The sequence below is a fragment of the Homo sapiens genome, chromosome 5, assembly GCF_000001405.40.
Source record: "Homo sapiens chromosome 5, GRCh38.p14 Primary Assembly".
NCBI lineage: Eukaryota > Metazoa > Chordata > Mammalia > Primates > Hominidae > Homo > Homo sapiens.
The window spans coordinates 56,665,020-56,678,915 of record NC_000005.10 but is presented as its reverse complement, the minus strand read 5'-3'; the positions used below and the strand labels follow the sequence as shown (position 1 = coordinate 56,678,915).

General features: G+C 40.8%; 2 annotated features.

The window, feature by feature from the left end:
• Positions 8,420-8,714: a silencer, noted in NCBI's record as "tiled region #489; K562 Repressive non-DNase unmatched - State 22:ReprW". NCBI's record gives its function as "represses a minimal TATA promoter and a strong SV40 promoter by Sharpr-MPRA in K562 cells {active_cell/tissue: K562}" and the evidence as "EXISTENCE:reporter gene assay evidence [ECO:0000049][PMID:27701403]".
• Positions 8,421-8,470: an enhancer, noted in NCBI's record as "active region_22569". NCBI's record gives its function as "activates an Ori minimal core promoter by ATAC-STARR-seq in GM12878 lymphoblastoid cells {active_cell/tissue: GM12878}" and the evidence as "EXISTENCE:reporter gene assay evidence [ECO:0000049][PMID:35858748]".

Here is a 13,896-nt window from a genome sequence, read left to right as displayed (position 1 = left end):
GAAATAAAATAGATGACGGCGGAGTTGCTGTGTTTAGAGCAGAGGTGACATTCTCAGGGCTTGGTTTTCTTTGTACTGTGTTCTGTTGATGTTTTCTTGTGGTCCTTAGACATCTTGTTCTCCCACATTCTATATTCTCTGTGATGCTTTGGAGGACGATGGATTTCTCATTCTAAGGGCAAGAGGAGATCCTGGCCTTCAGACCCTCAAGGAGCAGCCCTACTCAGGATTATTTTAATTTGGAAACCCAAGATTCTACTTTTAAAAACAGACCCTTTCTAAGGAAATTCCTATTATGTAAAGAACTAGAATATATATATATTTTTTAATGCACAGGCCACTGCCTCTTGGACCTGTCTGTCCTTTTCATGATCTTGAATTAGCTTGACTTGGTTCTTGGTTGGAAGCAGAAAAATTGTATTCAACAGTTATGTAAGAGAATAGCTGGAAGCAATTGGATTAAAATATTCAAGCGGCTTAAGCCCAGAGAGGATGAATCAAAATATTGAGTACTGTTTGAGGTGCAAGGAGAATATTTGTACAGCTTCTGATGTGCTTGGACATTGATTGTCTTGTGGTCATGAAGCCATGTTGGTAGTTTAAAGTTCAGAGGGAATTCATGCTTTAGGAGTTATCCCTCCCAAAATGGCAAAACATCACAATGAAGACTTTTCCCAATGCTGTTCTTTGCCAAAAGCATAAGACTAAAGCAAGATTGATGCTGGAACAGTCTGGGCAGTAGACAGGCCAATGCATGTAATGCATATCATTAAAAATAGTTAGCACAAAGAAATGGTTGTTATTGTGCTTCGTCCAAGTTGGACTTAGTAGCTAATTAAGTACAAGCTCCTTCTTTTTTTTTCCATGGCCATATGCAGTTTTTGAATTCTTATAACACAAATTGTTTTAAAGAAGTTAAATACAGAATGCATTGAGTTTGGTAGAGAAAGTTTAAAGGTCTGCATTTTCCCACCAGAGCTATTTAATATCAGCTGCAGAGTGGGTGTGTGTGTGTGTGGAAGGGTTGTGACCTCCCTTATTTTTACAACCATTGCCATGATTTCATAATACTGGCAGCAGTCACCCAGAGTGCAGAAGTAGACTTTATTACAGTAATTATATGCCAGAATGTGGGTATTAAAACAGAAAAACTTTTCTACTGATAATAAATGTCAAGGGAAAAATGACTTTACGCAACAAATAGCCCTTCATCCATGTTTTTAATGTATTAATGGCCTCAATGAAGACTGAGATGTGTACATTGGTTAGAAGTTCAGACTCCATATAGCCTTTTTGCCTTACTTGTAGATAGTAAGTAGGGAAGTTGAAGGGTAGAGGCATGTCTTGGCAAGTTAGATTTATTTTTCTCCATGGCGTAAAGTCGGATATATATTCACTTGGGCAGATATAGCTATTGTTTTTTGCAGATGGGTAAGTCAGGACCATAACTGAATTAAGCTATTGTTTCTGGATTACCATATTGATTTTCTCTAATGTATTTTGATGGGTTTCTGAGAGCTGGGAGAAGTAATGTGGCATGGAAATTTATCTTGAAATGTAGTTTTCTGACTATTAAAAGGCTCAAATAAGGACAATAAAAGACCTGAATAAGTACGAAGAAGTGTAACTTTTTGAAAATAGCCATATTCTGAAAAATAAGCTTGTGGCTACTAAATTATACTTATCAAGCATTAATTGTGTGGTTCATTAATATATTGCTGAAATAACAAATAAGGTCTAAATGTAGAAAGTCTACACCAGGAAACATTTTTTGCACTCTGCAATTGAATTTGGTGACAGGTTGATTAATCCCAAGAAATTCTAAAATTACAGTCTTTTATCTTTGATTTCAATGGACTTTGAAGTGGGTAGTTAGACCTTTCTCTGAAGTACTCTATTAGTTTGAATATACAGAATAGATTCAGAAACTCAGTAGCAAAACTCAGAGCAGGATTTAGGTTTCCAGCCTCCATCATATAAGAGTCTAAACATCACACCTTTCTTAGATTTCTGGTCAGTTGCTAAAGCCATGAAGACTATTTGAAGGTGCCTGCAGACTTTTCCCTGAATAGCGTGTTTAATCCTGCACAGTTGGTACTTAACAAATACTTGAGGATGATGAAGATTTTCATTTTGGGCCCTGCTTTACTAGCCCTCTGCTTAGTTATATGGAAGAACGTGGGTTAGAAACCTCCAGATGTGTGTTGATTATTGATTATGAACTGAGCTGTATCTCAGGGGAGCCCTGGGCTGGGAGGCACTGATAGCTGTGACTCATAGTAGCCTTAGGGGATGGCCATGGGCATGCAGTTTCTTTGCTCAAAGTCCAGATCAGTCTCTAGAACATGACACTAATTCCTCTTCTGTGTCTTCTCTGTTCTCTGCAGTGGGTTTGTCTTGAACAATGAGCCATTCACAGGCGCCCAGGGAACTACCCTGGACCGGGGAGATGACTGCAGGCCCTGCAGGCAGTTGGCCACTCTCCAGTCTAGGTATTCTTGGGAATGTGGAATTATTTGAATCAAAGGGAAATAAATCTTTTGCAAATGTTAATACAAATGACTGTGGGAAGGACTTGGTGCTAAACGAGGAGCTGTGAACTCTTGGTGCCTACTGAGTTAGTTTTTGGCAGGGAATAATACTAGGTTGCTATGGGAATGATGAAGACAAAATAATAGTCATATTTTAATGGTTGCTCTTACTGTGTCATCTTCAACTGCTCTAGGCTGAAAAAACTTGCTATTTGAATGGTTTTATTACTCTTACTTCATGTTTTGTTTCTTTTTCTCCTGTATTTGAGCTTGCAAACATGTGTCCCTAAATAAGTTCATGAATCTAGCTTACCACGTTTTCTTTGAGCCTAAAGGAATCAGCGCATTTGATGTTGATCCTGTTGATTATATGCCTTCTGTGTCATAAGTTTAAATTAGAAAAGGGGCACCCTGGGGATCTGAAATTCCATGTGCTTTTCTGATTGGGTGGAGAAAGAAGGAGAGAGAAACTGTGCAGTGTGGGACAAAGGTCAGCTGACCTGGGCCAAGCCTCCCCTTTGGCACATCTAGCTGTGTCACTGGGCAGAGGTTAGTACACCTCTCTGACCTGGGTCTCTGCATTAGTAAAATGGGGCTAATTATATCACTACTCTGGCGTTGTGAGCTCCTCAGATGATATACGTAAAATCTTAGTACAATGTCCACAAACACCTGGCAATTGTGAAGCCAATTCCTTATTGTATACATAGCAAATATCACAGCTCAATCCTTTTCCTTTGAGCAAAGAGGCAGCCTCAGAATCCCTCTCAGCACAATGCTCCAGGTAGCCACTACCAACCCATCACTGTTGACATGTGATATTTACTGAAGCACAATCCTTGGGGCATGATAGACATTCAATAGATGATAGTTCTTTATTCTTACTATTCCTTTTTTTTGAGGTGAAGTTTTGCCCTTGTTGCCCAGGCTGGAGTGCAGTGGCACGATCTCAGCTCACTGCAACCTCTGCCTCCCAGGTTCAAGCAATTCTCCTGCCTTAGCCTCCCAAGTATCTGGGATTACAGGTGCCCGCCACCATGCTTGGCTAAATTTGTTTTCATATTTTTAGTAGAGACAGGCTTTCACCATGTTGGCCAGGCTTGTCTCGAACTCCTGACCTCAAGTGATCCGCCCACCTTGGCCTCCCAAAGCGCTAAGATTACAGGCGTGAGCCACCGCGCCCGGCCTATTCCTACTATTCTTGCTATTATTGTTGTAACAGGAGACTGTAGATATGACAGCAGGAGATGCCGGTGGCTATTTTTTGCTTTTCCCCTTATAATTCAGCTTGCCTCTAGAATCAGCAGAATTAGGCATAGCTGACCACCTACCTGACTCGGGAATACTGCTCTCTAATCTTTGTCTGCCTCTCTGGTACCTTCCTCTGCCTTCTTTGCTGCTTTCTCCTCATCTCAATGACCTGCAAATAATTGTGTACTTGGTCCTTCCTTGTCTTTTTTTATCCACCCTCACTAGGTGATCTCATCTGGTCTCAGGGGTCTGTATAGCCTGCAGAACCATAAGCCAATTATCCATATGCTAATGACACAAACATTTATGTCTCTAGGCTAGAGACAAATCTCCATTGTGTTTCTAACTGCATTCTTGAGATATATCTCTAATAAAATGTTTCATTACTTGTATCAATCAGTTCTGTTAATTGGATATCTAACAGGCATCTCCGGCCCAGCATGTTTAGTGTTGAAGTCCTGATTCATAACCCACGAGCACTCCTCACCCCTCTGGCAACCCGAATCTATTCCAGCCTTCCTCATTCTAGCAAAAGGCAATTCTGCCCAAGAGTTGCTCCATATTACTCTGTTCTCAGACTGCTATAAAGAAATACCTGAGACTGGTTAATTTATGAAGAAAAGAGGTTTAATTGGCTTATGGTTCTGCAGGCTATACAGAAAGCATAGTGACTGCTGCTTCTGGGGAGGCCTCAGGAAACGTCCTATCATGGTGGAAGGCAAGGGGAAGCCGGCACATCTTCCATGGCTGGAACCAGAGCAAGAAGGAGAGAGGGTGGGAAGTGCTACACACTTTTTTTTTTTTGAGACAGTTTCGCTCTTGTTGCCCAGGCTGGAGTGCAATGGCGCCATCTCGACTCACCTCAACCTCCGCCTCCCAGGTTCAAGCAATTCTCCTACTTCAGCCTCCCAAGTAGGTGAGATTACAGGCACCCATCACCATGCCTGGCTAATTTTGTATTTTTAGTAGAGATGGGGTTTCTCCATGTTGGTCAGGCTAGTCTCGAATTCCCAGCTTCAGGTGATCTGCCCGCCTCGGCCTCCCAAAGTGCTGGGATTACAAGCGTAAGCCACCGCGCCCGGCCGGTGCTCCACACTTTTAAACAACCAGATGTCATGATAACTCTACCACTATACAGTACCAAAGGGGGGATGGTACTAAACCATTCATGAGAACTCTGCTCCCATGATCCAATCACCTCACACCCAGCCCTACTTCCAACACTGGGGATTACAATTCAACGAGAGATGTGGGTGGGATCCAAACCATATCATTGCTCCAACCTAAAACCTTGAAAGTCATTCTTGGTTCTCTTTTCCTCATACTTCCAATCCATCAATAAATCCTGTCAGCTCTACCTCCAAGAATCTTACTACTTCTCACCACCTCCACTGCTACCACCACTGGTCCAAGCCACCATTATCCCTGGAGTCTTGTAGTAGCCAATAATAGATAGCTACAGTTGTTTCTCAATACACAGGCAAATTGATTCTTTTAAATGGAAATCAGATCATGTCACTCCTGGGTTCCACAGTTTTTAATGCCTTTCCACCTCACTTTGAGAAAAAGCTGAAGCCCCGGCAATGTCCTACAAAGCCCCACACAACTGGGCCTCAAGACAACATCTCCTTCCACTGTCTCCTCGCTCACTCTGCTCTGGTCACCCTGGCCTTCTCGCTGTTCCAAGAATATGCCACTCCTACTTCAGGCCTTTACTTTTGTTCCCCCTCTGCTTGGAAACGGCTTCCTCCAGATGTACACAACGCTTGCTTCCTCATTTCTTTCAAGTCTGTTTATCAGTGAGTCCATCTTATATATGACATTAGCAACCACCCTTCCTTACTGCTGCAGTCTGGTACCCACTCACCTACTTTCTCACTTTCTTTTTCCCCATGGCACATATCAATATCTGACATATTATGGCTATACTTGTTTATTGCTTGTCTGTTTCTTGCAGTAGATATGAGATCCAAGAGTGCAGAAACTTTGTTCCCTGCTGCGTCTCCATCACCTAGAAAGTACTGGACACATGGTAGGCATTCACATTTTGTCAGACTATTACGTGAATGAAATGAATGGCTCAACATAATCACTGCTAAGAACAAGAGCTCTTGCAAAGCCTCTGTAACCACAAGTAAAAATATTTGTGTTTACTAAAGTCTTTCAGTACCTTAATTTGTTTGCTTTGGTAAATAGAGTCAGAATTTAACATGGAAAAACTCTGAACTCTCCTAGTTGATTTCCTTGAGGCTGACCAGCTTGGAGTGGTTATAAAACACAGACAGGTATTTAAAATTGCCTGGATGTAGCCAGATGCAGTGGCTCATGCCTGTAATCCCAGCTCTTTGGGAGGCTGAGGCAGGCAGATCACTTGAGGTAAGGAGTTCTAGACCAGCCTGGCCAACATGGTGAAACCCTGTCTTTACTAAAAATACAAAAATTAGCTGGGCGTAGTGGTGCATGCCTGTAATCCCAGCTACTCAGGAGGCTGAGGCAGGAGAATCACTGGAACCCAGGAGGCAGAGGTTGCAGTAAGCTGAGGTTGTGCACTCCAGCCTGAGCGACAGAGGGAGACTCAGTGCCTGAATTTCTGTAAGGGATACTAATCTGGTTGGAAAGGAGATGTGGGTCTCTAAGCTGAATTAAGGTGGTTATTTGTATAAGAACATGAGAAAAACATCAACTGCTCATTTCAAAGAACGAAAGAGTGATAAAGGCTGCCGATAGGATTTGGACAGGGAAGGAAGGTACCGAAGCTGTCTTCCTCAGAAGCATAAACACATGGGAGTTAGTCCTACTAAGTAACAGTGTGGACTCGAAGTAGTCCCTGAAATTTCTTTGAACCTCAGTTTCCTCACCAGTGAACTGAGGGGCTTAGATATATTATTTATAAGGTCAATTCCAACCCTATTTTCTGGTGGTGAGATCAGGTCTCAGATTTATATTCTCAGACATAACTTTCATTAAATTGGAAATTTGAGATCCAGTTTCTTTTTCTGCAAAATGAAAAGTTTGACTAAAATGAACTCTAAGGTTTTTATTATTATTTTTTAACAGGTCTAATATTCTTTGTTTTCATTGTGTTTTTGGATTTTTTTTCTCTGCCCAATTGGCTCTGGTAAAATTTAACCTCTTCATTATGATTATTGGTTGCTTCTTTTGTTCGTTTCTTTGAAGTTGTGGTCACACACACACACACACACACACAAAATGTGAAGATATGTCACATACATTTGTAGATGCAGTGTGTGCTATCTTGCTGTTGGTGACCACTAACTTTGCCTTGAGACAGGGTGTGGAGCAGAGATACATCCTTGAGGTTTGTTTTATTCTCTAAACTTGACAGTGAGAGGACAGGAAATGGTCCATTGAGAAACTGGTGACCAAAAAATGCTGAAATTCTTCTTTAACCTCAGTTCCAGTCAATTCACATTGGAAACCGCAGTGCTTTTAAATTGCGCATTCCTAATTCTCTGATTTCTCACCCCTGTGGCTTGTTTTAGGGTCTCTAGGTGTATATTCAGTCAGCTGAACCACTCGAAGGGCCTGGTCACACCTGTGTCTTACCTTTGTGCCTCCATTTCTACAAGTACAAAGACATGGAGGAAACAGAAATTTTGCTACCTCCTTTCAGTGTTAAGTTTGAGATATCCTGATAAAAACCTTCAAAAAAGGGACTGAATGTTATTATTATTTTTTAAAGTAAAGACAAGAGGTTTATGTCCTACAGTTCTGGAGTCTGGGAAGTCCAAGGTTGAGGGTCCTGCATCTCTGAATGTGAATTTTTAACAAATGTGTTGGGGCTGGAGGGTTGGGGTGAGTTGGAATGGGGACAGAGCTCTTGAAAGATGCTTATTAAATCTGCAGTCCTTTCTAACAGACTTTTACAGGTAGGAACGCTTTCTTTGAGAAAGATGCACAGAGCTTGTCCTCTTCCCTTGAAAGCCATGGGCAATGAATGATAAAGTAGTTAGTCATCACAGAGCACTGGTGACTTAACTGCTCAAATCAATAAATATTCCCATTTCCATTGACTCATTTAATGGGAAAAGAAGGTCACATGTCAAGAAAGAGGGAGGGGATGGAAGAAAGGAGAGAATGAGTGAGACAGGAATTTTGAAATGTATTAGAACGTGTTTTTTTCTAACATTTTAGTATGAAGATTCCCAAATTACAGGAAAGTTGAAGGAATTAAACAGGGTATACCCATTTACTCACAACTTGGATCCTGCAATTAATATTTTGCTATAATTGCTTTATTACCTCTATTGATCCTCTCAAGAGTAGCAGTCTGTGAGTTTTGATGAAGGCTTACTTGTGTGACCCAGTCCTAACCGGATATAAAATATAACCTTCATCTCAGAAAATTCTTTCTTGCCCCTTCCCAGGTAATCCCTGCTCCTACCTCACAGCCAGAGGCAACCACTATTCTAATTTTTAAAACTGTAGATTAGTTTTGCCTATTTTTGAATTCCATGTTAATAATACCATACAGTATGAGCTCTTTTGTATGTGAAGCTTCTTTCATTTACCATAATATTTTTGAGATACAGTCAGGTTGCTGTGTGTAGCCATTTATTTTTTAAACCACAATAATCTCTATTCATTTTTAGAGAGTCTCAGGTTAAGAGTTTCTTCTAAAAGCAACAGGAAAAATAAGCTGTTGTTTTTTTTTTTTTTTTAAGATAGGGGAGAGAGAGTTGAAAGGAACCTGAGTGAAAGGTACTTTGGCCTCTTAATTTTCATGATAAAGAAGTTGAGGCCCCGTCATTGCTCTGGGGCACGCAGACTGAGCTGAAACTGGAACCCAGGTCTCCTGATTCACGGCTTGAAAGGGTTAGGAAGGCAGCTGAGTAGGGTGGTTGTTTGAGCTGAAGCCATGTGAGAATAGAGAGTTTCGACAGAGCTTTGCTTTAGAGGATGTGAAACTACAGTAACCTCATGTGACAAAAAATCCTCCGAGGCCTTGGTATGGAGCCAGAGGAGGAAGTTTGACATGGCCTCTGGTTACCAGCTCCACCTCTGAACCCACTGGCCCAGGATGACTTATGGTGAGCTCTCTGATTTGCAATAAAACTAGACATGGGACAGAGAAAGCTTTTCTGCACCATGCACAAGGCAGGACAATGCTAAAGGAGGGGGGGGAAAAAAAAACAAGAAAGACACCTTCAGCCACATGGCCTTCCCATAGCAGGGGACCCAGAGCTGAAAATAAAACACCCAGGGAGGAAGGGATGCTGTGGTTACAGACAGAGCCTTTGTCTCCCAAGTGCATGTTCCAATTCAGCCCAGGATGACAATGACCTGGAGGTTCCTGCCTGCCAGCTGTTGGCTGGCCTTTGTGAAAGTCCCCGAGCTCCAGGCCAATGCTTAGCGGGCAGGTATCCATATCGTGAAGCCAATTGGCACTGCTGGTACCTTTGTTGATGATGTGAGCACAGCCACTGGGAACCAAGGCTGCTGGTGCACTCTTGCTACCAGCTGGCAGGTGCAAACCCATGGGCAGGTGCCCTGGGGAGAGACGGTTCATGCTGCCATGGTAACCGATAAAAAAAAGGAGGTTTCTTCAAGGTCAGTTTGCCCTTTTTTCTGCTAGAGGATATTGTGAGGAAGAAATGAATTTGTGGCAGCCCTGACTTGTGTGTAAATGTGTCCTTCATCTGTTTTGAATTGACACTTCTAATTGGATCTAATATTAGTGTCACCCACTGGGCAAATCTGGGTATTGGTGGGTCTCCTGGGCTATGTCATTGTGGACAAAGATCAAGTCACCAGAGAAGTCCCAGAAGAGACGTTCCAGTGTAAACCAAGCAGGATTGAACAAAGAATTCCAAAAGTGATTTTGAAAAGGCTGACAGTCAGGTTGGACAGGTTCTTCGGGCTATTCCAGGATGTGAAATTAATGCGGACTGTCTGAGGCGTGTCACCCTAGATGTCCTTTAGCCAAACTGTCCTAGGTGCAAGGAAGAAGGGACCCTTGTCAGCTTGCTTGGTGCCTCACGAGTTTGTCACAATGCATTCATTGTAAAGAAGCAAGCTTTCCTTATCATCATTGTCCTTCTCTCTGTAAACCTTCTGCTCATGCCTTTACCTTGGGCAAATACATTTTCTGGCTTTGATTTAAAAGTTCAGCTTCTTGATATTAATATTTCTGCGCTTCATTCTGATAAAAGTTGTTCTGACTCAGGTCATTGGCTTGGGTGTCAGTAATTTTCCCATTTAGCCTCTCTTGTGTGTTTTTCATATTCTGAGATTTCTGTTGGCAGAAATAACAGCATTGTATTAATTAATTAATTAGTAGCATTGTGTTATTGCAGGGGCTTCATGAACCCCTGGGAGAATTTTACTCTGTTCTGCTTACTGGGATGCTACCAAAATTATTTAGTACCCTGACAATCAGAAATATCATTTTTTTGGATAAACTCTAAGCAACTTGCCTGCAAGTATAACCATGGAGGTTGGCCTCAGCTTCCCAATGTACAAAATGAAAAGATTAGATTAAATGATGTCTTCAGGTACTTGCCAGCTGGTTTTCTAAGATGTTTGATTTTAACATAAAAAGAAAACCTGTGAATATATTCAACAAATAACAAATGGAATTTACAAAGCTCTGCACTGGATCCTTGTATGCAGTAAATATTTATAATTCATCTACCAAGTCTGGGTGCTGGGGCTATGGAAGCGGATACAGCATCATTTTCTATTCTGAAGGATCTCATAGCCTAATGAGGGAGGGGTCACAAGAAAAAAATTCTTCTCAAAATTGGCAGGAGTTTGAAGACAAAATTCTGCTTGGGAAAAGAACTTACCTTTTGGTTTGGAAGAGCTTCTAAACTGACATGTTTAATGTAGAAAGATAAGTCTTTTTCCCTGAGCCCCCTCAACTGGCAGGGCCATAACTAAGGTGATATTGAGTGAGGCACTTGCCTGGGATACAAAAAAAAAAAAAGGGGTCGAGGGGGATGTCAAAAAACTTCGTGGTTAAGATAAACTGCACTATAAAGTAGTCTTTTAAAAATCAAAATTAATGAAAACAAAATCCCTGATGAACAAAGGATGAAAATTTAAAATAAAGAGAGGATCTGATCCTGCATGTGTATATACCCTTTCCTCACTTTCCTCCCCCTAATCTTGGCCCTGGTTCTATTAAAATTTTATACAACTTGTAATTTGATTTTTAAAAGCATAGCATTAAAATATTAGAATATTTTAATATTAATATAATTGAATATTTTATATTAAAATATAAAATATCACAATAATATTAATTAGCATAATTAATTTTAATATTACTATTTATTAATATTAATTTTATTACAAATCTGGAGGCATCACATTACTGAACTTCAAACTGTACTATAAAGCCATTGTCACCAAGGGATGGGGGGGTGGCGAGGTATAACAGACTACACATAGGGTACAGTGTACACTGCTTGGGTGATGGGTGCACCAAAATCTCAGAAATCACCACTAAAGAACTTATTTGTGTAACCAAACACCCCTTTTCCCCCAAAAAACTATTGAAATGAAAAAGTTTTTAAAAAAGAACATTAAAAAAACTTGCCAATTTGATTTTAAAGACAATTGCATTAAAATAGTAAACTATTTTAATATTAATATTAATGTAATATTTTATATTGAAATATAAAATTTTATGCTAAAATATAAATATTAAAATAATAAAGTTTAGACAAAAAAAGAGTAGAACAGAATTTAGGGTTTTAGAAGGCTGTCAATAGAGGGAAAAAAGAAGTCTGTGGAAGGAGCCTGGGTTTCTAGAAGATGGTGGTACATAGCTGAGAAAGTCTTCATAGTGGAGAATGGTTTGTGAATATTTATGAAAGAGGTATCTAATAAGGGTTTTGAAGTTGTTCCTCACTCTGTGTTGCCTTTTATCCCCCTTTACCCACTATCCTTCAGTTAGAAATCTGATACATACAATAACCCTTGAATTTATGCTGAGTTGAGAAATAGGACGGAAGAAGGGTGTTGTCCAGCATGTCCAGGAAGTGGGCTAATGAGAGAGTAGGAAAGATGTAGAAACCAGGAAGGATGTAGCAAGGACCGCCTCAGGAGAAGGGAGAGGACTGCGTGGGTGGGTGGCTCTGGATATTCTGAAGTACAGAGGGTGCAGCCTTGAGCTCTAGTGTTTTGTAAAATTAAAGGGAATCTCTTAGGCAGCAGACACTTGGCATGCCTGCGAATCAATCACGACAGTACGTTGTTGTGGCCAGTCTTTGGTTTGTCCCTCCAAGGGAAAGGTCCACTTTCTTCCCTTGGAGGCTGCCCTGTATGGACCACAGGAAAGGGCTCCCTTGACCCTGGATTCCAGCTGGAGTTCCCTCCAGCACCAGCAGATAATTGGAAGGAGGGAGGAAGAGCCAAACTCAGGGCTTTTCCAGTGGCTCCTTTCCTGAGGGTTTGCTCCAGACTGGCTACATTCCTCTACTCAAGGTTGCAGTTCCTGTGAAGCATCCCTCTTCTTCTCCCTCCAAGCTCTGAGAACTACTTCTTCCTCTTACCTTTCCAGCCTAGGGATAGTAATAGAGCTCCTCTTAATTTGCCCAGCGGTATGTACTAACTTTTGTAGTCTCCTTATACTCTGCTTCTTTGTAAAGAGTCTCTGTTTTAAACACTCTTCAGTATGAGGTTTCTGAGACCTGACTCATACAGATGTGAGAAGGACTAAAAAAGGTTTGTACGAAGCATTATAGGCTGGAGGTGGAGAACGCGATCAGCTGCACAGTGGGAAGGGAACATGGGGTAGGGGCATGGAGGGTTACATGAGTGAGGTTTGAGCTGAATCATGTGCAAGGGGATATTTCCCTGGGATTAGGGTAAACTCCAGCCTGAAAACAGACTTGCATCTGCCAGGCCAGTGTCTCTGTAAGTAAATCTGAATGATTTTCATGGTCATAAAAGATAATGGTTACCCAGTGGGCTTTAAAAGACATGGGCAAATACTATCCAAAGCAATCTACAGATTCAATGCTATTCCTATCACACTACAAATGTCATTTTCACAAAACTAGAAAAAACTATTCTAAAACTCATATGGAACCAAAAAAGAGCCCAAACAGCCAAAGCAATCCTAAACCCCCAAAACAACAAAGCCGGAGGCATCACATTCCCCGACTTTCAGCTATACTATAAGGCTACATTAATCAAAATGGCATGCTACTGGGTACAAAAACAGATACAAAGACCAATGGAACAGAATAGAGAACCCAGAAATAAAGGCGTACACCTATAACCTTCTGATCTTTGATGAAGTTAACAAAAATAAACAAGGACTCCTTATTCAACAAATGGTACTGGAATAGCTTCATATGCAGAAAATTGAAACTGGACTCCTACCTTTAACTATATGCAAAAACTAATTAATGATGGGTTAAAGATTTAAATATAAGATTATATTTAAATTATAAAAATCCCAGAAGAAATCCTAGGAGCACCATTCTGGACATCAGTCTTGGGAAAGAATTTATGCCCAAGTCATAAGCAATTGCGACAAAAACAAAATTGACAAGTGAGACCTAATTAAACTAAAGAGCTTCTGCACAGCAAAAGAAACTATCAAAAGAGTAAACAGGCACCCTAAAGAATGGAAGAAAGTGTTTGTAAACTATGTATCTGACAAAGGTCTGATATACAGAATTTATAAGGAACTTAAACAACTCAACAAGCAAAAGAAAAACCCATGAAAAAGTGGGAAAAGGACATGAACAGACACTTCTCAAAAGAAGACATACAATCAGCCAACAAACGTATGCAAAAATGCTCCACATCATGAATCATCAGAGAAATGCAAATCAAAACCACAATGAAATACCATCTCACACCAGTCACAATGGCCATTATTGAAAAGTCAAAAAACAGATGCTAGTGAACCTGCAGAGAAAAGGGAATGCTTATACGTTGTTGGTGGAAATGTAAATTAGTTCAGCCACTGTGGAAAGCAGTGTGGAGATTTCTCAAACAACTTAAAACGGAACTACCATTCAACCCAGCAACTGTATTATGGGTATACACCCAAAGGAAAATAAATTGTACTACAAAAAAGGCACATGTACTCACATATTCATTGCACTACTCACAATTCCAAAGACATGGA